This window comes from Homo sapiens, chromosome 7 (genome assembly GCF_000001405.40).
Source record: "Homo sapiens chromosome 7, GRCh38.p14 Primary Assembly".
Lineage (NCBI taxonomy): Eukaryota > Metazoa > Chordata > Mammalia > Primates > Hominidae > Homo > Homo sapiens.
In genome coordinates this window covers 104,966,968-104,992,473 of record NC_000007.14, presented here as the reverse complement: position 1 = coordinate 104,992,473, position 25,506 = coordinate 104,966,968, and the positions used below count along the sequence as shown (strand labels likewise).

The 25,506-nt window shown below is 41.8% G+C and overlaps 1 long non-coding RNA gene across 1 annotated transcript, besides 4 other annotated features; it reads left to right on the top strand.

The window, feature by feature from the left end:
- Positions 1–1,308: 1,308 nt before the first annotated feature.
- On the top strand, positions 1,309–10,727 carry LINC01004 (long intergenic non-protein coding RNA 1004). The gene has a single exon (NR_039981.2). It is a non-coding gene; the product is annotated as a long intergenic non-protein coding RNA 1004 (long non-coding RNA).
- Positions 4,467–4,966: an enhancer, noted in NCBI's record as "H3K4me1 hESC enhancer chr7:104627955-104628454 (GRCh37/hg19 assembly coordinates)". NCBI's record gives its function as "activates a minimal SCP1, AML or CMV promoter by ChIP-STARR-seq in primed H9 embryonic stem cells {active_cell/tissue: H9 hESC(primed)}" and the evidence as "EXISTENCE:reporter gene assay evidence [ECO:0000049][PMID:30033119]".
- Positions 4,967–5,468: an enhancer, noted in NCBI's record as "H3K4me1 hESC enhancer chr7:104627453-104627954 (GRCh37/hg19 assembly coordinates)". NCBI's record gives its function as "activates a minimal SCP1, AML or CMV promoter by ChIP-STARR-seq in primed H9 embryonic stem cells {active_cell/tissue: H9 hESC(primed)}" and the evidence as "EXISTENCE:reporter gene assay evidence [ECO:0000049][PMID:30033119]".
- Positions 8,260–8,559: an enhancer, noted in NCBI's record as "active region_26453". NCBI's record gives its function as "activates an Ori minimal core promoter by ATAC-STARR-seq in GM12878 lymphoblastoid cells {active_cell/tissue: GM12878}" and the evidence as "EXISTENCE:reporter gene assay evidence [ECO:0000049][PMID:35858748]".
- Positions 8,860–8,949: an enhancer, noted in NCBI's record as "active region_26452". NCBI's record gives its function as "activates an Ori minimal core promoter by ATAC-STARR-seq in GM12878 lymphoblastoid cells {active_cell/tissue: GM12878}" and the evidence as "EXISTENCE:reporter gene assay evidence [ECO:0000049][PMID:35858748]".
- Positions 10,728–25,506: the final 14,779 nt, after the last annotated feature.

Sequence of the window (25,506 nt, the reverse complement as noted above, 5' to 3'; positions counted from 1 at the left end):
AAATCCTAAACCAAAAAAAAAAGTGACCAAATTACAGAACTCTAGGAGTTTATCTTACCTACCTACCGCTGAAAGAGGATTTTTCTTTTTAAGAAAATTAGAATATTCTGATGGCCTAAACTTTTCTTGTCAAACAGGTAAAGTCTTGTTAGCCCAGAAAGTATCTCTTCTTAGGAGTGTTTAGATTTGTTGAGAGAGAGAAGGCTTTATTTCTTTTTTAGTAGAGACGGGGTTTCACCGTATTAGCCAGAATGGTCTTGATCTGCTGACCTTGTGATCTGCCCGCTTGGCCTCCCAAAGTGCTGGGATTACAGGCGTGAACCACCGTGCCCAGCCTGAGAAGGCTTTATTTCTAAACTCCCCACTTAATGTAACACTTTACTTCTTTCTTTTTATTGATATAGATAATATTTGTGCATGTTTTAGGGGCACATGTGATATTTTCATAATTGTATACCATGTGTAATGATCAAATCAGGGTAGTTGGAATAGCTATCACCTCAAACATCTTTGTGTTGGGAACATTACAAATCTGGCTATTTTGAAATATACAATATAAATTATTAACTATAATTTTCCTACTGTACTGTAAAATAGTAGAACTTACTCCTTCTAACTTTACTGTTGTACCATTTAACCAACTTCTATACATCCCTCCTTCCCCCACCCCACTTAATATAAGCATCTTTTTTTTTTTTTTTTGAGAAAAAGTCTTGCTCTATCACCCAGGCTGGAATGCACTGGCAAGATCTCGGCTCACTGCAGTCTTTGCCTCCCGAGTTCAAGCATTTCTCCTGCCTCAGCCTCCCCAGTAGCTGGGATTACAGGTTTGTGTCACCACACCCAGCTAATTTTTGTATTTTTAGTATAGATGGGGTTTCAGTATGTTGGCTAAGCTGGTCTCGAACTCCTGACCTCAGGTGATCCGCCCACCTCGGCCTCTCAAGAGTGCTGGGATTACAGGTGTGAGCCACCACACCCAGCCATAAGCATCTTTTAAAAAGGTGGAGGGGGGCTATCAACTGTTATTTTAAGCATAGTAAGAGTTCACCCTACTACTTTTACAATGAATTACTGCAAGATGTTTAGACATTGTGATCTTTTTATTACGGTTACTGTTTTCCCTAAAGGTCAAACCAATAACTTGAGATCCTGAGGTGCAACTCAAGAGTAGAAGCATCACTTAATACTAGTAACTTAAAAGAATAGCAGATCTGGCTCGCTGTGGTGGCTCAGGCCTGTAATCCCAGCACCTTGGGAGGCTGACACAGGTGGAGCACGTGAGGTCATGAGACCAGCGTGGCCAACATGGTGAAACCCTGTCTCTGCTAAAAATGTAAGAATTAGCTGGGTGTGGTGGCACACACCTGTAATCGTAGCTACTCAGGAGGCTGAGGCATGAAAATTGCTTTAACCCGAGGGGCAGAGGTTGCAGTGGGCCGAGATTATGCCACTGCACTCCACCCTGGGTGACAGAGTAACAGTCTCAGAAAAAGAAAAAGGAATAGTAGTGGGTCTTCAGATACTTAGATGTCATGAGCTGGGACTTTAATGGGCCATTTTTAAAATTTGACATTAAAAATTCCGTCCTAATGCCAGTAAATAATTTTCATCATTTAATTCCGCATGTTTTTGGTATATTCATCTAGCACCTTCTGAATGTTATTAGACCTCCTATATAGTTAACCTTGGATATCATATGGTGGTTTGGTAGACTTTTTTTTTTTTTTAATACACACACGTCTTTTAGCTTGGTTGATATGCCCTCAGCCTGAAAGATAACAACTTGCTTATTTATTACACAACCAGATTACTTGACTCCCTATGTTTGAAGTCCCCAGTTTAGATTGGTTATTAAGTAAGCATTCATTAGATTTTCAATTATTTATAAAAGCTAAATATAAAGAACCACAAACTATTTCAACAAGTTAATACAGCCAAAGCATATAGATAAATATATGAAACAATACAGTAAATACATGAGACCAAAAATTCAGTCTTTCATCAGTCTGGAAATAAACAAATATTTTGTGTGTGATTGTTTCTGAAACTGCAGACAGGTATTTTTAATTCTTAACTCCTACTGTGTTCAGTACATTATTCAGAAGATTAGCCAGGAACAGAAAATGTGCAATTTAATTTCCCTTAGGTTCAAGGTATAAGCTAAACAGAGTCTTTCCCTGCACAAATTATCAAGTTGGCTGTGTTTCACTGGATAGGAGATGGGACAGTGGGAATCTTGTTTGTTCATTGATGGGCGTCATTATTTAGATGGTGAGGCATTTGGCTACCTTGAAAGTCATCTTTACTCCCTGTTACCCTCACTTTATTGAATTTCTTTACTTTGACTTTCAGAGCTCTGGGCAGAAATCACATATTAGTTTGGAGGACTTTGTTATTTTATTCAAGTTAAAGTATAGGGTTTCCCCAAATTGAAAACCAGAGTAGCCTATGATCATTCCCTGTGGGATTCTTTAACTGTTAAGGCAAAAGAAAATGCAGTTGCACTTAAGAGTATATGGATAAAATAAAGAACTGTGAAGTGAAAAGGGGAGAGATTTTTTTAAAGATGACTATATTTTAACTCCTCCTGACTAGTAAATTCAAGGATACCAGGAAAGATGAGGTGTAGACTTTAAACCTTCCAACATTCCATTGTGTTAATCATTCTTCCTCATCAAAGAGGCAGTAAGGGATAATTTAGAGTGACTACAGTTACAAATAATGTGCTGTATAAGCACCCAAGAGCAGAGATAAGGATGGAATTAAGGGTGTTAAAGAAAATATGGCCTCTCTTCTTTACCATTTGATTGTTTTTGCTGTCCCTGGAGACTCATATCTCTCTCTATTCCTAGGACCAAAGTTTACACAACTGCCAAATATATAAACAAGAACACCCCTTAAAATTCCTGTGAAACATTGTACATCTTAAGAGAGCAGATGTGTCTATGGGCTGTCACAAATATCAGTCTTGCTATGTTAAGCATAAACTTAACAAATATTAGTGGAGACACACTATTTAGGATTCGCCTAAAACCCTCTAAGATAGAGGTCCCCAATCCCGGCCCCTGATCGGCCGCACCTGCAGGAGGTGAGTGATGGGCCAGTGAACATCATAGCTGAGCTCAGCCTCCTGTCAGATCAGTGGCCGCATTAGATTCTCATAGGTGTGAGAACCCAATTGTGAAGTGCACGTGTGAGGGATCTAGGTTGTGCTCTCCTTATGAGAATCTAACTAATGCCTGATAATCTGAGGTGGAAGAGTTTCATGCCAAAACCATCCCCTTGCCCTGTCCATTGAAAAATTGTCCTCCACAAAACGGGTCCCTGGTGCCAAAAAGGTTGGGAACCACTGCTCTAAGGTGTCCAGTGTTGGCTGACCCCTCTCCCTACTTATGCACCCATTGGCTTGCCTAACAGCTGATTGATTTCTGTTTAAATAGACACAGTATATTGGGGCAGTTTATTGCATCTTTGGTCATCTCTTTTCCTCTGGGTCCCTAGGACGGAAGACAATATCCTAAGTTGATTCTGTCTAACAAAACATGAGTAAAATGAGGAATTGGTTAGGTAGGTGGCAAACAGCAAAGATTATATGGACTTGTAGCTTGCTCCATAAGTAGACTTTAACCAAGTAAGCTATTTGAAAAACAATCTTAATTTTTTTCAAGTGTTATTTTTAATTCTATAGGAATATTTTCATAAAAATAATGATGTCCATTATGTTAGCAACTAGAATTACAATGGCAAGTTTTAGGAGATGCTTGAAATGTGAGATGTTACATTTAAAACTATAAAGTTATCGACCTAAGTATATGATTGTACCCATGTGGCAGTAAACTTAAAACTTCCAGTTTCAGGTTTTGTTGTTTGTTTGTTTGTTTGTTTTAAAGAGTTGTTAATGGGGGAAAGGAAAGGAATATGTGAGGGAGATTGGCTTGCAAAGCCTAAAATATTTCTTATGTGGCCCTATATAGAAAAAGCTTGTGTATTCTGGACAAGAGCAATTAAAGGAAATAGTTTGGACTTAAAACTTCTAAAAATAAATAGTGCTCAAATTGCACTTGGAAGTCAGAGACCTTGCTGGTCATCAAAGGGTTCAGTTCAGTCAGTAGTTAGAAAAGACAGAAGCCAGCTTAGCCAAGAGTCAGAATACAAATATTCAGAACCGATTAATAGGCAAATAATTATATATACCATGTCCCAGCCAGTAGATGGAATAATATGCCACCATTAAATTTATATTAACATGTAAAAATGTTTGGAGTTTAGGGCTCTTTACCCATATCTTAGTGACATAGGAAGAAAATTAAGATAAATCACAAGCAACTAGAAAATAGACATGTTAACTTTATTTTAGTACATACTCTGGTAGGATTTTTACATAATCTTACGTACTAGTCAGCCTTCTTAGAAGTGTCACATAGTCAATATCCTTAAAGAGAAATGGAAGCTAATCAGGTAAGTAAATTGTGAGCTGAGGCCTACATCATGCTTGCTATTCAAAGAGAATAAAGTAATTGGATAAATGATAATGCCTCCTTGTTGGGAAAACAGTCTTCAAAAATGGCACTAAGTTACAGTTCTAATGCAATAGAGTCACTAATTACTATGAATACTTGTTTTACTTGGCAGATTACTAACAAAGTTAATTGGATACAATAAATGTAAAGATTTTCTTTTAAAACGACAGATTCTTCAGTGAGGTGTAAACATTTTATAGAACAATTATCAAAGCTATATTGGACTTAAATATTGGTCATGAATGTATGCACACCCCATAGGTAGCTGCCCTCCTTGGGCAGCTTTTGACTCCTATGCCAAATTTTAAAATAAAGGCCGTGGCCAGGCGTGGTGGCTCATGCCTGTAATCCCAACACTTCAGGAGTCCAAAGCGGGCGGATCGCGAGGTCAGGAGATCGAGACCGTCCTGGCTAACACGGTGAAACCCTGTCTCTACTAAAAATACAAAAAAAAAAAATTAGCCGGGCGTGGTTGCAGGCGCCTGTAGTTCCAGCTCCTTTGGGAGGCTGAGGCAGGAGAAGGATCTGAACCCGGGAGGCAGACCTTGCAGTGAGCCAAGATCGCGCCACTGCACTCCAGCCTGGGCAAGAGCGAGACTCCATCTCAAAAAAATAAAATAAAGGCCATATGTTTAATCACATTCCCCAAAAGGAGAACTTCATAAGGCACTAATGAGTAATGTTTATTTTACGAATGATTTTACGGGAAAAATTACAGAGGATGTTTAAATTGCAAAAATACTCCTCCCCTTTTTTCTCCTCCACCGCCCCCCAAAAAAAATCCTTTGCAGTTATCACCTAAGCTTTTTGGGTGTGTGATTTAAAAAAAAAAAAAAAAAACCACAAGACCTACCTTAACAATTTAAGTATGCAGTATTGTTTCTTCTCAGCTGCCCAGTCTTTGTAATTCTTATTTCTTATGCAGAACAATTTAGCATTTGACCCTACTATCACCAAAAAAAAAAAAAAAAGAAAAAAATATATAGCAGTTGAGGGCAGTATACAAGCTTAGTAAGTATATTCTGGTACTTGCTTAGGAAGTAGGAAATGTGATCAGATTCTGTTCTCTACCATATGACACTGATTTGCAAGGCCCCGGGTACAGGACTACTGGTAAAAAGAACCCTGTAACTTCCTGTCACAGAGGGACACAGCAATATATATAAAACAGCATCTGCCGTAAATCTTTGGGGAACGTCTTACTAGATTTAACCAGCTAATTTTACTAGGTATTTAGGAAAGTGTGACTGCAGTTCAGGGTCTTTGTTTTTTCTTTTAAGACAGGGTCTGGCTTTGTTGCTCAGGCTGGAGTGCAGTGGCATGATCAAGGCTCATTGCAGCCTCAGCATCCCTGGGCTGCAGCGATTCTTCCACCTCGGCCACCCAAAACTGGGATTATGGGTGTGAGCCACCACACCTGGCCTCTTATATCTTGATTAAGGTCCTGTCTGGGCCTACAAAGGTTCAATTTGCTTAACCCCAGCACTTTCCCTCAACATGGAGGTCCTTAGTCAACATTAACCAAGGTAATAAAGAGTTGAAAGTTTTAATCATAAGTAGGTGGAGGAGCATTTAAACTGGTTTAATAAACTTGAAATATGAATACCTTAAATATTCGAATAACAAAGCACTGGTGAAACAGGTTTTTCTATGGAAAGACCACAATTTTCTATCCAGCACATTTCATTTGACTGGGTTCCTTTGTTTCTGTAATAAATAGGACTTTGAGAATTCCAAATCAAATTTGCACTTTTGCACAAAAGGTTCACTTGGTGACTCTCATGCCTCCATAAGTGTGTTCCATCTGATTCTGCACAACCTACTGCCTTCAGGGTATCCTGGGACCAGCCAAAGAGATGATTCCAACCAGTGGAATCATCATTAAACTAGTGGTTCTTAAAATATGGACACTGAGTCAACCTGCATCAGAATTACTGTAGATTCTGGACAAATGTACGAAGTCAACATCAAATCAGTGCTACATTTTGAAAAGGTAACTGTAATAAAAAGATTTTTTTGAGATACTGAAATTGCAGTGAAGACAATGTTCCCACCTTTTTAAAATGGTGTAATATTAGGTTCATTTATGGAATGTTTTATGAAGCAGATTTGTATTTTAACAAGCCTTTTAGGAATGCAGATATTATAGGGGATAACATGAATGGTGGTAAAGAGGGGGGCATATTTGAGCAATGATTTTTCAAGAGCTATGAATTTACAGTGCAATCCTAGCAGGAAAAGAGAGGGAGAAAAGAACATCTATTTTGAGCTGCAGACATAATTGCATCACAGCTGAGATTTCATAGTCCCCGTCCTCTCTATTCCTGTTGAATTACATGATTAAAGGTAACTATATATATATGAATATATGAAGATGTTTAATTGTTGCAGGTTGGAGAATTTGGGCCAGGGAGAATTCACTTGGCCAATGAGTTAAAAATGAGAAAAGGATTAGCAGTCATCAAAATTTCTAAGTAGTTAATTATCTGCATGGTGGGTTCAGTATAAACAAACATGGTACTCTCAAATGACTGTTGATGGGCTATTAAATTACATTAGTATCCTGTGAACCCTGGTCATAGCTGGAAAGGAGAATCTTTTGAGAAATGGAAAAACCAGGTTATTTGTACATAAGGAATATGTCTTTTAAACACCCCCAAAGTATAGATTAAGACGTGATTGATGAAAAGTCTCCATTTTCTAATGATGGTTTTATGAAACCAAAGTATTTACAACTAAGAACCAACCATCTGATCGCCAGTAGAGAGTGGAAAATAGGAAAGGGTAACGTCTCAGTATGGTATCTGGAGTAGTCTGGCTAGGACCATAAACTTCATTTTGTTTACAAGTTCCCAGAAAATAAGCCTGAATGAGCTTAGAGCTTAATACTTCCAGTGATGGTTCTCTCTTCCCTCAAGTATACAGATTAACTATTTTTGTGCCGTGGGCCTTTTGACAGCCCCCAAAAGCCCGTGGATCCCATCTCAGAATGTTTTACATGTGTATTACATAATGCTCACACATTCTAAATTTTATCTACCGACTCCTAGTTAGAAATCCCTTGCAAGGGGTGTTAGGGTTCTGAGAGAAGGCTGGTAAGTAATGAGGCTTTTAACTTATTTCAGTATCCTGTTCAGGTCGGGAATATGTTGTGTTCTAATTACTCTAGTTTCCAGCTCAATTGGTGTTGGAGAAACTAGCCCACTTATAAGTGGCTCAAATGAAAACCCACGGGGAGGCATTTTTCTTTAATAAGCAACCCTAAGCCCCCTTTGAAGTCAGTCTGACTAATCAAAAGAAAGAGGTTATATATCCCAGTTTTGACCTTTTGTGAAAATAGCCCTTTTACTGTATGTGATATATTATTGGCATCTCATTCTGCACAGTCCAAATGATGTAGACAAAATAGTGATTGGTATATAACTATGGACACCGAAGATCCACTGCAAGGCCTGCCGATCACTTTACACAGAAGGAGCCCCTTTCCTGAGGTCCGCTTGCTCGCTCGGGGTGGGGTGGTACTTTGCCCTAGTAAACTACCAAGCAGTCCGAACGTTCGCTCCTCTGGAAGACCGAGTTGTGGGCGGCTGCGCTGCGGGGGCAAACTCGCCGCATGCCCGCTGGCCAGAGCGAGTCGGGGCCTGGCGTTAGGGCAATCCAGACTGGCCGGCATGGTACAGGGCGTATCCCTAGCCGCCTTCTGTGTCATATGGGGCGCCGCCCTCCAGCCTAGGAGAGGCGGCCGCTAGGAGGGGCAGAAGGGCCTTGTCTGCCCCGGTCTGAATACCCCAGGCGGGGTCGGAAAGCGGGTCACAGAAGAGCCCAGTAAACTGCAGGGGTGCAGCTCGTCTCCAGGAACCGGCAACCCCCAGGGCCGCACAAGCCGGTAACAACCCATAATCCGATCCTGTCTTCGGGATCAGAAGAGAGGACAGCTGGCCCGCGCGCCAGCTCAGTTCCTCCTCCGCATTCTTCAGGAGGAGCCCCAGAAACGCACTTCCGCCGCGCGGGCCTGCCTCCACGCAGGGCGCGTCCTAGGCCGGTTCATTTCCGCCCAGCGCTTTCTGTGGCTAGGGGAGTCAGGGGTTTCCTTTTCCCTTATTCGGGCTCTTATGTTACCCCCGTTTTCCGTTGAACCCTTTTCTCCCCTCTTGCCCTCCAAAAAAGCAGTCTGCTGCCGCTCCCGACTTTTCTCGCTGAGACACCGTCAGCTCACTCCGAGCCCAGCACAGCGGCCATCTTCGGTAAATTCTGGCAGCAGCCCGCCTGTTCATTGTCCTGTGTGCCCAGAGGAAAGAACTACTCATTTTTCGTGATCAAGCTAGGGGAGGCAGGAGCAATAATGGCCCTGCTATAGGACTGGCTTTTATTTGAATTCCAACTCTTCTGCCACCTTAACCAGCTGTATCCAGATTTTAAAAGTTAATCTATCCGAGCCTCTTATTAAATATTAGGTTGATGAGATGATGCATGCAAAGCGCTTAGAACAGTACTAGGCATAAAGCGTCCGACATAAAGGTTAAGTAAAAGTAAGGAAAAGCTATGGGGATGTATTGAGTATCTCTTTGCCCAATGACGTATTAGTCGTATTAAATATGGAAAGTGCCTTTGATTCGCCGTGCCCATGGGAGAAGGCATAGGAATGGCCTTTTCCCACCTGTAATCAGAGAGCAGGTGTTTCAAGAACGCCTCAATATGTTTGCGATCTCTCACGCAGCCTTTCAGGCTCCTAATTCCTACGAAGTTTCCGCTTTTATTCAAATTGGCTCACTCCTTTTTGCAGGGCTTTGTACTGAATGAGTATTCTTTTAAGGGTGGTGGACAAGCAAAGGTTTGGTAGCATCACATTTTTAATTTCACAGGGAAAATGGGTATGAAACATCTTCCCAAGTACATCTTAGACTGCCAGCTGACAGCAAGCCATAATGCTCCCCAGCTCTTGGGCCCTACACCCCCTCTCCCCCATCCCCGCTTTAGTTCTTTGTCATTGCTCATGGACAGCTGGTTTGGGGACCAGGTGCAGATGATGGGAGGTGTCTGAAAAACAGCAAGTGAGAAATGCTAGTTTTGTTGTTTTAAGTTGCACTGATGACTCCAGTAGTTATCTGTGCTGCTTGTGATAATTTATAAGGCAATGATAACGAATTAAACATACAAAAGATTATTATCTTCCACAGGAAAAAAAAACTGCAAACTTGTGACACCATTTATGATCCACTTAGTCTTGAGATACTGAGTAATAGAACTTTCTCCTTTTAGGCTGAGTTATGAACTTCGGTTTGGTTTCTTTCTGCAATCCCTGCAGGGCCATAAATTCTTGGCCCTTAAGACTGGGTGGCCCATAACAGACTCAGTGATACCATCAGTAACCACAATTCACACTGGAGTCAAGTTATCTGATTCCCACACCAGTTGGAGAACTGGAGATTCCTTAGAACTTTTAACTGTCATGTTTTCAAAGTTGACATGGAAAATTTTACATGAAGCTTAAAAATACAACTAATCTGTGGTGATAGAGACGAGAAGAGTTAAGCTCTAAAATTAGAAGAGCAGTTCGTTTTGAGGCAGCACTGATTGGGAGGGAGCATGGAGTATATAATTACACATTTCTATGTAATGTAAAAATGTATAGATTTAAGATTTATGCATTTTATGTAAATTTTACTACAATAAAACGAAAATGAAAGAAGACAGATCATAGTTTAATCAAATATTGTGTACAAAGTAATTTCTGTTAAACATTTATATTTTTATGTGTATATGTATCTTTTACATGTATGTGTTAAGGATATGCATTAAAATGGTAATAACTTCCTCTGCCTGTTGGGATAATGGAGAGTTTTGTTACTTTTTGTCTTTTTTTAAAACATGTTCTTCAATAATAATGTATTGCTTTTGTAATTATGAAAAACAAAAGTTATTTTGTAAATCTTTGTTACTGATAAGAGATGGGTATTCTGTTAACTACTCAATTCTCATGTAGGAAAACAAAATAAATAATGTCTATTTGATAAATCGAGAAACAGAAGCATTACTTAGAAATCTGAGTTACCTCTAAAATAATGACTGGCATTTGAAGTTGAGGATGGGTCTTGAGTTCCTGTGATTTTAAGCTCTTGGATATGAGGGTTGGGTGAGTTCCTCTTTTTCTCTTTTAAAATATATGTATGTTTAACTTTGCTAAATAAAATTTAAAAGATGCAATGTATCTCAGTGCAATTTTTAAAAATTTATTTTCATCCAGGTTACTCTACCCTTTCCCTTTGTCATTCAGCAGGCAGAACAAGGAAAAATTAAACTTCTAACTGAAAGGAACTTTGAATAGCAATCAATATCAAATTAGAGACAAAATATAAATATTGCTCAATATAAAATGAGGGTTTTTCTTAATTGAGGGGACAGAAATACAGCTTCTCAGTTATCATAAATTGCATCTTTTTTGGGGAGGGCCTTTTTGGCTTGCATCCATTACCAATTATATATCTTTCACTACTGTGGGAACTGCATTATGGAAACAGCTAAAGCTTGTGTATTTAGCGCCCTCTAGTGCATTATCTTATAACTGATAATACTCCAAACAGCTAGAAAAAATGTAAATCTCAGTCCACCTCCCCTCTTTGCACCTACATGTTTCCTAGCCATGAGACATTAGGCTGTGACCTCACAGTAGTTCTTTAATCTCTAGGCTTCAATTTTCTCATTTGTAAAATGAGGACGATAATAAATACTAGATAGGGTCCTGAGAACTAACTGAATGGTCTATGCTTGTGACATGAATGCCTGGCACATAGTAGAAGCTCGATTAGTGCTAGCTACTCTAACATATAAATAGATCGAGTCAGTACTAACATGATTAAAGACAAGTAATCTTGACTCAGATGTCAGAATCTGCTAGTAGGAAAGTGGAAAATGTTAAAGAGGAACCAAAAAATAAAGAATGAAGGCCTGGGTTTGATACTCATCTTTGGTTCCCTTTTGAGTCAATTGATGCCAATTCTGAAGTCTGGGAACATGTTAAATTCCTTTGCATCCTTCACAGTGCATATAATTGCACACTGTCAACAAATATTTGTGTTAATATTCAAGCTAAATGGTTAGCAAACAAGATGAAGAATGACAGAAAATAATAATTAGTATAAAAATTTGTATTTGGATTCAACTTTCTGTTATTTGAGGCAGAAGCCAAATGCCATTTTTTGGATTGTAGCTTCGGAACAGGCTGTGGACAAGATTTGTGTTACCCGTGTGCAAATGAGCAGCATAATTATACTGTGTGTTTCATATGTTCGCTATGTGACTTTTGTGACTCATTACTGACAACGACAATAGTAGGTTCTAGAATCCTGCCGTCATCCATTCTCACCCATTTTCAGCATTGCATAGGCTATACAGCTAAAATTTACTTCCTCAGACACATTCCAAGAGATACCTTCTCTCCACATAGTCTACATGACCATCTATAGTTCTTTTCCTGCACTGACAGACATAGACTTTGGTACTTAATACCAGTACTTCTTGGGCTCTCCAAGAACCCAGTTGCTTGAGGAAAGCATTGGGTGCTTCTCACCCTGAGTCCCTGGAATCTTTGGTTGGGCCTGTATATAATAAATGTCCCCATTGCTTATTTTTCTTGTGTGCTTTATATTAGACATGTCACAGTGTTGTCTCTCCTTCCCTTCCATTGCCTCAGTGCTAAACCAGACCAATTTTCTCATGAAAGGTACATGATACAGGTAACCATGCATTGTGCCTCTATTAATGCTTATACATTATGCTAAGCATTTTACATCCACTACTTCTTTCACAACCACATCCAGTAATAGAGTATTCCCATTTTCCAGAGGGGAGAATTGCCCTAGTTCACACAGATAAATGGCAGAGCCAGACTTCCAACCCAAGTCTGCCTCTAGAATCTGTGGATTCAACACTGCATCAGAAACTCCAAAGGGAAAATTTTGAGTTGTCTGTCTCCAGAAATTCCTGCAAGGAAAATCATGAAGCTCCCTTTAGGCACTAAGCCATAAGTTCTGAGGCTTCATCCTTTTCAAGAAAACCCACCTACCTAGCCCTGATAATTATTAGAACTGCGATGACTCACATTTACTTGGCACCTCACAGTTTTCAAAGGTTGGCCCATGGGGTATCTCATTTTATTTTCCAGAAAATCTTTTGCGTTCATCATCAACTGAGTGTCCAAGCTGGTGAAGCAAGTTCTTTTCTGGCAGAAGATTGCAGCTCCTATTATTTACCCCCCAGGGGATAAACTGCAAATCCCAGGCCTTACAGCTGGGAACACAGAGCTAGCTGTGCAAGCATATAAAAAACCTTGACAAAGCAGGAGGGGGGTTCACATACTGGCTATCCTCATTACAGTGCATTGGGCAAGGAGCTCTCCCACTGGAAGCTGTATCACAGAACCACAGGCACTGCCTTGGCGGGCAAAACCACATTCAGCAGTTCTTCAATCAGCCAGGGCCTTCCCTGCCCGTGTGCTCATTCATTTATGCTACGCATGTGGTCTCTTATAATTGCTTTTCCTCTCCTTAACTCTCTTTTCATACCCCAGCCCCTACCCCCAACTCCCTCTTGTCCTTAAAAGCTTCTTCCTGCTTTACACCTTAACCTCTTTGTAGGATCCCAGTAAATGCCAAGGCTTGTGGGGGTGGAAGATTATAAATCAAAGCCACAGACACAGACATGGGGGAGGAGCCACCCAGGGGGTGGAAGGGCCACAACTTCAAAACAAATGAGCCTCTTTCATCCCAGTGGGATTTTTGTTTTTTAAGGTCTGCAGTTCCGGTGGGGCATTAAATCAGAAGCTATGGTTTCTGGGATTTATAGGAAGAACAACAACTAGAGAGTTGTCCATATGTGTTCCCTGAGTTTCAGCAAAACTTGGGGGCCTAGAGAAGTCCTGTTATTTTTAAAAAAGTGTCGTTTCTCCGTTAACAAAATAGGTTTCACATTTTAAAAGCAGCTTAAAGCATAGCATCAACCATTCTTCCTCCACAATTGAGAAGTTCCATTAAATGATAGAAGGGGTCAGATTTGAGATATCTGACTAAATATTATTTAAGAAAAGTTAAATTTTGTCAGTTCTCAATTATCTGTGCTAGTGGAGGGGATCCAGGGACAGAATTCCACTGGGACTTTAATTCACTTGTTGATTTGCATTTGGCATTATGAGGCATTTTAGTAATGAACACTTTAATATGGGTGTGCCTGCAGTTCTGGAAATTTACAACTGTTTATAGCAAATAACAAAGCTACTCAGTGAAGATGCTGACAGGGCTGGAATGCTGTCAAATGACTTTTCCAGCCTCTGGACCAACTCTGTTTACTGAGGCCTGGAAACAAAATAGGCTTTGGCTTCAGACAGGAACGTTTAAATCCTTAGACTCACATTATCAAGTAGTTTAGGAAAAAAAAAAAAATCCTGATGCTGCTGTGTAATTTTTCAGATTCTTCATTTGAAAAATGGGAAAAAGAAGTAATATCACGTACCTTGACCATGGTATCAGAGAATGACCTCAGAAGTTGTGAGGGAATTCTCAGACAAAACTTTGAAATATAATCCAGGATTCAATCAGGTATTATTTTAATCTTTAAGTAGTCTTGATGGGTTGCAAACTTTCATGAATAGAGGAGAGCTGCTAAGTACTTGGGTTAAGAGGGCTTGAGACCAACTCCGGTATAAATTGTGACATTCTGTCTATATAGTATAAAGGACGCTCAGCATAACCCAAGAAGGTCACAGACCAGAATCACTGGCTGAAACCTCTGGCAGTGACCAACCTCAACTCAAAAGGTAAGTATATTTTGTGTTCCTAAGAATCCAGAAAGTTCAAAATTTCTATTAAGAAGTTGCTGCTGGCCAGGCACAGGGGCTAACACCTATAATCCCATCTCTACAAAAAATACAAAGAAGCCAGGCATAGTGACAGGCACCTATAGTCCCAGCTACTGGGGAGGCTGAGGCAGGAGGACTGCTTGATCCCAGGAGGCAGAGGTTGCAGTGAACCAAGATTGTGCCACTGCACTCCAGGCCCAGAGCAAGACCCTGCCTTTAAAAAAAGAAAGAAAAAAAAAGTTACTGCTTGCTAGAAGACCTGAGACCTTCCCATAGCCACATGAATGGGTATGGAAGTAAATTTGCCTCCAGGAGAGCCTTCAGATGAAAAGGTGGAAGCCCAACACCTTGATTACAGCCTTGTGAGAGAACCTAAATTAAAGGCACCTAGCTAAGCTGTACCCGAGATTCCTGACCCAAAGAAATTGTGAGATAATAAATGTTGTTTAAAGCTGCTTTTAAAAAAAGAAGTTTCTGCTCTACGGTTTATCTTCAGTCAACTTATTCTGTGTGTTAATACGTGAGCCATTATAACTCTCAATACATTTGAATTTGCACTAAGTGGCAGATGTGGCCTTGAGTTCTCCACACTGCCCAAGAAGCCAGATGGCAAGAAGGCTCATTTAGGCAGCCCTCCTACACAAAACTCTGCACCACATGCACAAATTCTGAATTGTGTCTGTAGGAGGAGGGGGTGGTTAGAATCGGGCAGAAAGAGCCAGAAACCAAGTGCCCAAGCATTCATGATCTGCTGAAAATACCAAGTGAATTTCTGCAGTTTCCTTACCATCCATATTATATAACATGCCCTGGATTAAGGACTCATTCTTCATCACTGAGGTAGAATTGGGTCCTTGTGCCCATAAACAAAAGAAAGCTTGGCTAATGCAATTGTACATTCTTTCCAAAGAACACATTTGTTTTCAGATGAGGAAGTCAGAGCACTGTTGTGCTAAATGTTTAGATCTGGTATTACTTAGGATAGGGGTTGGACAACTGTAACAAACAGATGCCAAAATTGAGTAGCAGTTCAGTAATGTCAGGGGCCTGCTTTCCTTCTCTTGGTGCTGCCACCCTCAATACATGGCTTCTATTTCACTGTTTAAGATAGCTGCTCCAGCTCCCACCCTCACATCTGTGTTCCAGCAGAAAGGGAGAAAATGAAGACACTGTCCTCACTTTTAAGGATAACAATCTGGGCCAGGCACGGTGGTTCATGCCTATAATCCCAGCACTTTGGGAGGCTGAGGTGGGCAGATCGCTTGAGTTCAGGAGTTTGAGACCAGCCTGGGCAACAGGGTGAAACCCTGTCTCTACAAAAATAACCCAGGTGTGGTGGTGTGCGCCTGTAGTCCCAGCTACATGGGGGGCTAAGGCAGTAGAATTGCTTGAGCCTAGGAGACTGAGGCTGCAGTGAGCCATGTTCTTGTCACCGCACTCCAGCCTGGGTGACAAAGTGAGACCATGTCTCAAAAAAAAAAAAAAAAAAGAATCTGGATGTTGCATACATCACTTTTACTCCCATCTATGACCATATCTGGCTGCAAGGGAGGCTTGGAAACTGGATGACTCTGTATTCAGCTAAAAATTCCATTATATAAGAAGAAAAGTACAGATTGGAAGATAAACTAGCACTTTCTGCCAGGATTCCCTTCCTGTGGCTTACCCCTCCAAACATACCTGATTAATATTCAAACTGCTGGGCGAAAAGCCTATTTAATTCCCTATGTAAAGAACATGTTGAAAACTAGAGGCTTGTCCAGGTGCGGTGGCCCACACCCGTCTCTACTAAAAACACAAAAACTAGCTGGACGTGGTGGTGGGCACCTGTAATCCCAGCTACTCAGGAGAATTGCTTTAACCTGGGAGGCGGAGGTTGCAGTGAGCTGAGATTGTGCCACTGCACTCCAGCCTGGGTGACACAGCAAGACCCTGTCTCAAAAAAAGAAAAAAAAAAACTAGAGGCTGTTTTGCACCCTCTATTTTTTTGGGTAGCACAGGTAGTACATGTTTATTCTTGAGGGGAAAACAAAATACAAATCAGTAAGAACTTAAGAATTAACATCATGAGACTCTATACCCAGTGATAATAATGGTAGGATTTTGATGTCTTTCCTGATAGACTTTCCTGAAACAAATGTAGACATATATAACATACAATCTCATGGTGCCGATTTACATTATATAATGTCAATCACCACCATCGTGATGATAAATGGCCAGTACTATTGTGTATGTCAGGTGGGGAGAGGACTTTAAACCTAACCTGTCATACAATTGAAAGAAAATAGAAATTGGGAGAATTGGATTTCACTTCTACCTCTTCACTGACCAACTGACCCTGTGTCACCCTGAATCAGTAACCTAAGAAAATCTTTTTTCTTTTTTTAAGACAGAGTCTCACTCTATCACCCAGGCTGGAGTGCAGTGGCGCGATCTCGGTTCACTGCAACCTCTGCCTCCAAGGTTCAAGCAATTCTGCCTCAGCCTCCTGAGTTGCTGGGATTACAGGCATCCACCACCACTCCCGGCTAATTTTTTTTTTGTATTTTTGGTAGAGACAAGGTTTCACCATGTTGGCCAGGCTGGTCTCGAACTCCTGACCTCAAGTGATCTACTCGCCTCAGCCTCCCAAAGTGTTGGGATTACAGGTATGAGCCACTGCAACTGGCCCCCACAAAATCTTTTTTTTTTTTTTTTGAGACGGAGTCTCGCTCTGTCACTAGGCTGGAGTACAGTGGCTCAATCTCAGCTCACTGCAACCTCCGCCTCCTGGATTCAAGCAATTCTCCTGCCTCAGCCTCCCGAGTAGCTGGGACTAGAGGTGCACGCTGCCATTCCTGGCTAATTTTTTTGTATTTGTAGTAGAGACGGGGGTTTCACCATGTTGGCCAGGATAGTCTTGATCTCCTGACCTTGTGATCCGCCTGCCTCGGCCTCCCAAACAACTTAAAACCTTAATGTTTCCATTTCTCCATCTGTAAAATGGAAATTAGTTACATTTGATTTTTCTTTTTTTTTTTTTTTTTTTTTTTTTTTTTTTTTTTTTTTTGAGACGGAGTCTCGCTCTGTCGCCCAGGCTGGAGTGCAGTGGCGCGATCTCGGCTCACTGCAAGCTCCGCCTCCCGGGTTCACGCCATTCTCCTGCCTCAGCCTCCCGAGTAGCTGGGACTACAGGCGCCCGCTACCACGCCCGGCTAATTTTTTGTATTTTTAGTAGAGACGGGGTTTCACCTTGTTAGCCAGGATGGTCTCGATCTCCTGACCTCGTGATCCGCCCGCCTCGGCCTCCCAAAGTGCTGGGATTACAGGCGTGAGCCACCGCGCCCGGCCTACATTTGATTTTTCTAATCCCTAAGATAGTTATGAAAATCAATTATTCCTCCCTGTATTCCTTCAAGTACTCTTGAATGCCCACTATGTGTCAGGTATTGAGAACAAGACACACATGCTCCCTGTCCCCATGGAGTGGAACCTAATGAGTGAGGCATAGCAACATGTTTTGAGAAATATCAGCTGGGATACATTAGGTAAAGGGTTACTGTCGAGAAGTGGCCACCAACTATCCCTAGCATTCCTTGGTCCTTCACACTCTCCTTGATGCCTCCTTCCCAAGGCCAAAGTGGGGGAAGAGGTGAGAGATAAAGTGGTCAGATGAGTGGCTATGGCCCAGCCTGGTCAAGCTGCCATTTTACACTCCACCCACTCCCCAACTCAGTCAGCCCTAACTCTACTACATGAATCCAGATTTTCTCTTCTATGTGCCCCACCCTCTGACAGGGAAGTAGGAAAACAGAGATTTGTAGAAGTTGGTAAAAGCTAATGTCAGAAGGCAAAGTTCCATTTCTAGATCCAAGAAAAACTTCCTGTTTTGTTAAGACATTTCTTAGGAGCGGAAACTGGCTCACTCAAATGAAAACCACAATGAATAATTTTACTGATTTGTACCATATGTTTAGCAAGCCTGAAATCCCAAGAGGAGGTTGGTGAATAAAGAGAAATCAGAAAGGGACTGTCAGATACCAACCCCCAACCAACCAGGGCTTTTCCCCACATCACCACTCCCTGAAGGAACAGCGACAACTGAGGGAGTGGAAACACATTTGGGACACGTGATGCAAAGGTAACCTGGTGGCTCATTTAAGGGCTGTGTGACTTGGATTGGTCATCATCCTTTCTCCAGATGGAGTTTCCCTTTTTACAAAAAGATCTAGAAAATCAGCTGTACTAGCATAGACAGTGCTGCAGTAACAAATTAGCTCTGGAGTCTTGGCTTAACACAGTAAAAGTTTATTTCGTGTTTTCATTAAATGACACATACAGGTTGGTGGTGGAATGGGAAGTGGAGATGGGAATTCTGCTTAAGCACCCTGGTTGATAGAGGCTCTGGCACTTGCAGCTATATTACTGGAGCCTTGGGCCATCACCATCTTGGCCGTAGAGGGAGAGAATGCATAGAGAATTCACATGTGTCCTATACTTCAGCCTGGAAGGGACACATATCACCTCTGTCTCAGTGGTTGGACAGAACAAACTACAGATGGACTGGGACAGATGGGGAAGCCTATGGATATTTGGTGAGCAATACAATAAATGCCTCTGCCACAACAGCCTTTTAATGCTGTGTGCATGTTACTACGTGTTATGGCATCTCAGAATTCCAGACAGATCTTTTGGATCCTAATCTGCTGGGATGTCTCATCTAAGATTCTTATTTATTTCCTGAGCACCTAATAGGCAGTCCTCGTGTCAAAAACAGCACACCAGTGGGTTCTGCATAATGATTTTACCTCTAGAGTTTTCCCTCTCCTCTCCTCTCCCCTCCCCTCCCCTCTTCTCCCCTCCCCTCCCCTCCCCTCTCCTCTCCCCTCCCCTCCCCTCTTCTCCCCTCCTCTCCCCTCCCCTCCCCTCTCCTCCTCTCCTCTCCTCTGTTGTCCAGGCTGGAGTGCAGTGGCACAAACACAGCTCACTGCAGCCTCAATTCCTAGGCTCAGGCAATACTCCTGCCTCAGCCTCCCATGTAGCTCAGACCACAGGTGTGTGCCACCATGCTAATTTTTTTTTAAATTTTTTATTTTTTTGTATAGACAGGGGCTCACTTTGTTGCTCAGGCTGGTCTCAAACTCCTAGGCTCAAGCAATCCTCCTGCCTAAGCCTCCCAAACTGCTAGGATTACAGGCATGAGCCACCATGCCTGGGCTTTTCGTTTTTAATTTAATTTTTTACCTAATTAGCTAGTCCACAGGAATTAGCAGCTCAGCGTGGCCTCACAATATGTTGTTGGAGGACTGACATAGCTTGGTGTCCCTGGGAGCATGGATTAGTCAGTCATTGGAATTCAAAGCTGAGTTTTAAAACAGTATGGAATTTTAAGCTGTTCACATTTAATTCCACAAAAATGACAACGTAGAACTGAAGGGTTGTTCTCTGAAGGATTATTGACCATAATTGTTCAAAATGTATTACGATTCAAGCCTCCTCTTACAGTTGACTCATGTTTGACTCTTGTCCAGTGTTTCTATGCCCAGGGATGGTGCTCTGTATGCATCACTATTATCAATTAAATATACATACAGTCCGTACATGTAGGCTGCAGTTCACTTGAATGAAGTTGTATGCCCTTGCCAAGTAGGGGAGTAGGGTGGGAGGAGTCACTTTCTTTTTTCTGTCTTTTTCTTTTTCTTGCCTTTTTTTTTTTTTTTTTTTTTAAGACAGGGTCTCACTTTGTCACTCAGGCTGAAGTGCAGTGGTATGAACATGGCTCACTGCAGCCTCAACCTCCTGGGCTCAAACAATTCTCCTGTCTCAGCACTCCTCAAGTAGTTGGGACTACAGACATGTGCCAGCAGGCCCAGCTAATTTTTGCATTTTTTTTAGAAATGGGGTTTCACCATGTTGCCCAGGCTGTCTCTACCTCCTGAGCTCAAGTGATCTGCCTGCATTGGCCTCCCAAAGTGCTGGGATTACAGGCGTGAGCCACCGTGCACTGGTGGAGGCAGTCAATTTCTAAGTGATAGCTTATTCAGGTCTGAGTTTCTCTGCCTTCCCCTCTTGATCCTTGGTTTGGGGACATTTTGTCATCCACCAAAAAGGCAGGAGAGAGCAAGGCAAATACAGATCAATTCGAAGCAGACTCATTTCACAGGGTGGTTCTCTACTTATTTTGTTTAACTTGGCCTGCTGTGGAGCTGTTTGGGGACACATACAGTTCTGCAGCCAGGAGGCCCTTTCCAGAACCTGATTTCCCCTTGGAATGACACATTATCCTCCCTTCACATGTAGCAATTGTAAATTCCTGCCTAGGGAGCAGCAATTGCTTTGAATTACACACTATTTGAACAGACCAGTATGGGATTAACAAGGCCTTATTGTTCTGCAGTCCTTTATTGAAACTCGCTATAGTAATTTCTGGTGAAATTATATTCCCCTGCCTATCATTTGACTATGCAAAGGAACACTTTCCACACTCTAATTGGTCCTTTCTAGTTGTATGTAATAAAAATCTCTTTTTACTATATTATTAACCCTGAGCAGGAAGAAATAATACTATCAGGTTTTTTCAGTTCACCCTTTTCTCACCCTTTCCCTCCCTTTGACATCTCTACTATGATTCCATGACTTGGACGTTTTTTAGATTTGTGGTGCCCAGAATATTACTTTATGACTGCTATGTACATATAGAAATGCACACACTATACCCACACAATCTAGGATTATCTCCTTTACAATATGCTATTTTTAAAATAAACTTCAGGAGCACAGAATTAAATCAGTAATAATACCTGTTTCAGGACACATTCTCATCATTGGTCTGGAAGTACCATTTTAAACATGTTTTTAAACAGTCTAGGCAAACAATTTACATCTACTCTTCAATTAAAAAACAAAAAACAAAAAACTCTAGTCCAGGCATGGTGGCTTGCGCCTGTAGTCCCAGCACTTTGGGAGGCCAAGGTGGGTGGATCGCTTTGAGCTCAGGAGTTCAAGACCAGCATGGACAACATGGCAAAACCCCGTTTCTACTAAAAATAGAAAAATTAGCTGGGTGTGGTGGTACACACCCATAATCCCAGCTACTTGGGAGGCTGAAGCAGGAGAATGGCTTGAACCTGGGAGGCAGAGGTTGCAGTGAGCCAAGATCGCACCACTGCACTCCAGCCTGGGCAACAGAGCGAGATTTCGTCTAAAAAAAATAAAAATTCTTACTTTTCAATCATCTGCAAATAGAATTTGGTAACCAAGAATGAATCTACCAATATTTACTTCCTAACTAAGCTGTTTCTAACAGAAATCAAAAGGGAATCTCTTTATAATGATGAAGTCTAAAGGCAGACTAATAAAAATGCTGAGAGCAAGATGTTTAGGTCAGGTGCAGTGGCTCAGGCCTGTAATCCCAGCACTTTGGGAGGCCTAAGCAGGGGGATCACTTGAGCCCAGGAGTTCAAGACCAGCCTGGGCAACATAGTGAGACCTGGGTCTCTACAAAAAATACAAAAATTAGCTGGGCATGGTGGCATACCTATAGTCCTAGCTACGTGGGACGTTGAGGTGGGAGGATCGCTTGAGCTCAGGGAGTCAAGGCTGCAGTGAACAGTGATGGCAGCATTTGTACTCCAGCCTGTGTGACAGAATGAGACCTTATCTCAAAAAAAAAAAGTTTACCAGGCTTTAAATAGTTTATTTTGATGGACATTATTTGTCCATAAAATAGACCTTTATAAAAGCTCGGATTTGAAACCAATAAATTAGAACTGTAATGTAGTCTTTTCTAGCTGGTTTTAGGCCAGTTAAATCTAGCAGAGATCATGAAGGCAGAAAGCCAACTTGAAGCCAAAATAACTATTGAGAACATTCTACATTCCATTAATAGGTAATGAAATTAAATCTGTTAACCGCTAAATTAAAATACATATTCTACTTACTTACATACAACTTTAGGCCTATATAACTATCATGCTTCCAAAAATAACAGCCTGGCCAGGCACAGTGGCTTACGCCTGTAATCCCAACACTTTGGGAGGCCAAGGCGGGCGGATCACCTGATGTCAAGAGTTTGAGACCAGCCTGGCCAACAAAGTGAAACCCTGTCTCTACTAAAAATACAAAAATTAGCCAGATGTGGTGGTGCGTGCCTGTAATCCCGGCTACTTGGGAGGCTGAGGCAGGAGAATCGCTTGAACCTGGGAGGTGGAGGCTGCAGTGAGCCCAGGTCAGGCCCCTGCACTCCAGCCTGGGCAACAGAGTGACTCCGCCTCAAAAACAGATAAATAACAGCCCAATAGCACAATACTTTTGAAACATGCTTTGATGAAATCCACAAAGGAATCATCTTTACCCCTTTGTCCCTAAACCATCTTCTCAGATCTTGTGCCTAAATTGAAATTTTTGTGCCAGGAGTTAGAAAATAATATGGATATAATAAAACAGACATAGTTTATACTGTAAGATATAATAAATATAGTTTATACTGTAAGAAGCATGACAGGTTTTTTTAAAATTATTGGATGATGACCATCAACTAAAAAAAAAAAAAAAAAAAACAAACAAACCTCAAAAACCCAAAGTCTATAACCTGCACTGAAAGGTTTTAATCTATAAAGATGAAAGTCAGCTTCTCCCATTTCCATTTTTCAAACCAGAGACTTTTTTTTTTTTTGACTTGCTCTGTGACCCAGGCTGGAGTACAGTGGTGCAATCGCTGCAACCTCAAACTCCTGAGCTCAAGTGATTCTCCCACCTCAGCCTCTTGAGTAGCTGGGACTACAGGCACACAACACCATTCCCGGCTCCAGAGATTTCTTTGAAACTTTCTATTAGAAAAAAAATAAAAAGAAATGGTCATTGCTTGCTGTGCATGCTGGCTCATGCCTGTAATCCCAGCACTTTGGGAGGCTAAAGTGGGCAGATTACTGGAGGTCAGGAGTTTGAGACCAGCCTGGCTAAAATGGTGAAACCCCATCTCTACTAAAATAAAAAATAATTAGCCGGGAGTGGTGGTGCGTGCCTGTAATACCAGCTGCTCAGGAGGCTGAGACAGGAGAATCGCTTGAACCCAGGAGGTGGAGGTTGCACTGAGCCGAGATCGCACCACTGCACTCCAGCCTGGTGACATAGCAAGACTCCATCTCAAAAAAAAAAAAAAAAAAAAAAATTTTATTAGTAAGGAGATAAAGCTAATTCCTCTGGGAACTTGTTTCAGACTTGGGTAGATGAAGTCCTGTGGCACAAAACTGAAGTGGAAGAGTGCTTTATGTAGACAGTTGGCTTGCAGGCAACATAAACAGAAAAGCTCAATAAATTCAAACAAAGCTGAAGCCAAAATCATGTAGTGATTTGTAAGGGAGCAGTAGATATTTTGAACTATGCCCCAAAGAGATGTTAAAGTAAATCAAAATCTTATGAACAGGTAAAAAAATTACTATGAAATTTAGAAAAACTGCTATCCATCCCAGATAGTGATTTTTTTTTTCCTTAAATGAGTAGTGAATGACTACAAACAAATGTGTAAAAAAAGAAAAAAAAATGACAGGAAATTTGAAATACAAATTTCTAGGCTTCTGGTAACACAATTTATACCAGGGGTCAAATATTCAGGGTTGCTTCTAAATTAAAAGAAAGAAACAAACAAAAAAATCCCATTTGAGCCCGAAGCATTTCATATTTGGTAAACTATTTGGGGAAATTCCACAAAATGTGCAGGCCAAGTCATTTTATTTACTCTTACTCTCCAACCTTTCCATTTCATTTTGCTTCAGCGATCGTTATAAAACTGAGCAGACAAGGCCAGGCATAGTGGCTCACACCTGTAATCCCAGCACTCTGGGAGGCTGAGGGGGGCGGATCACGAGGTCAGGAGATCGAGACCATCCTGGCCAACATGGTGAAACCCCATCTCTACTAAAAATACAAAAAATTAACTGGGCGTGGTGGCAGGCACCTGTAATCCCAGCTACTCAGGAGGCTGAGGCAGGAGAATCACTTGAACCCAGGAGGTGGAGGTTGTGATGAGCCAAGATCTTGCCATATTGCACTCCAGCCTGGGCAACAAGAACGAAACTGTTTCCAAAAAGAAAAAAAACCTGAGCAGACAGCTCGGGCAAACCCAGGAGCTCTCTTCTAGTAACAAAGTACAGGTTTGTCCTAGGAAGATAAGAAAAATCCTTTTCTTCCAAGTACAGGCTCTTGCCACTGTTGAGGAGTGGTCACCATATATCCTCTCTGCCTCAGATTCCTGTGCACTGACCATTCTCACATTCCTGGGCACCAGATTATCACATTGCTAGGAGCTGTGGTCTGGCATCGGGCAGTTTGCACTCTGATTGAGTGGCTGGGTGCAAGAGGGGAGTAAACTGGCTCGAGTCACTGGTGACCATGACTGCTCTAGAAAGAACTTCGGAAGGCTCAGCCCCACCGACCCTGCCAGGCCTAGCAGGCTGGTAATTATCTCCTGGGCTACAACAGAGCTCTGAGAGTTCAAGGTTTACCTCATCACAGCCTTTTCTCCCCTTCCTTCCTCTATTGGACAGTCCACTTTGCAGTGACCTAGTTCATTAGGATGCCCTTGTGCCTCAGTTTCCCTTATTAGGACTGGACTCCGCCTGTCAGCTGGGATTCAATCACCCTGTCTTCCTCTTTGCCAATATACTTTCCTCTCCAACCTTCCTCAGTCCCTACTGGCTGGGGCTCTGCTTGGATTAAGTCAATTGCTCAAGAGCCATGACTCCTTCCTGACTTTGGTCTACTATCCCCACTCTCTCACAGTCATTCCAGCTGCTTACTTTGCTCCCTGAAGATACTGATAATCAACTGAACCAGATCCCAGCTTGCCTTATCTACTCAGCCCACCTGGTTACCTTTCCCAGGCCAGTCTAGCCAGCCAGGTTAGTTCCCTGCTTGCTGTCACCCACCCACCCAATCCTGGATCCTCCTCCTTCCCATCAGCTGGTGCTGCTCGAATATTCACATCGATAGCAGTAATTAATGGCAGTTAAGAGCTCAGTCTGTCTCAGGAACTGTCTTAAGTACATCAGTACTTAAATTCATTTAATTATGACCACAACACTTGGAGAAACTGAGGCTGGGAGAGGTTGACTTGCTCAAGGTCACGCAAAGAGTAAATAGCACAGCTTTAAG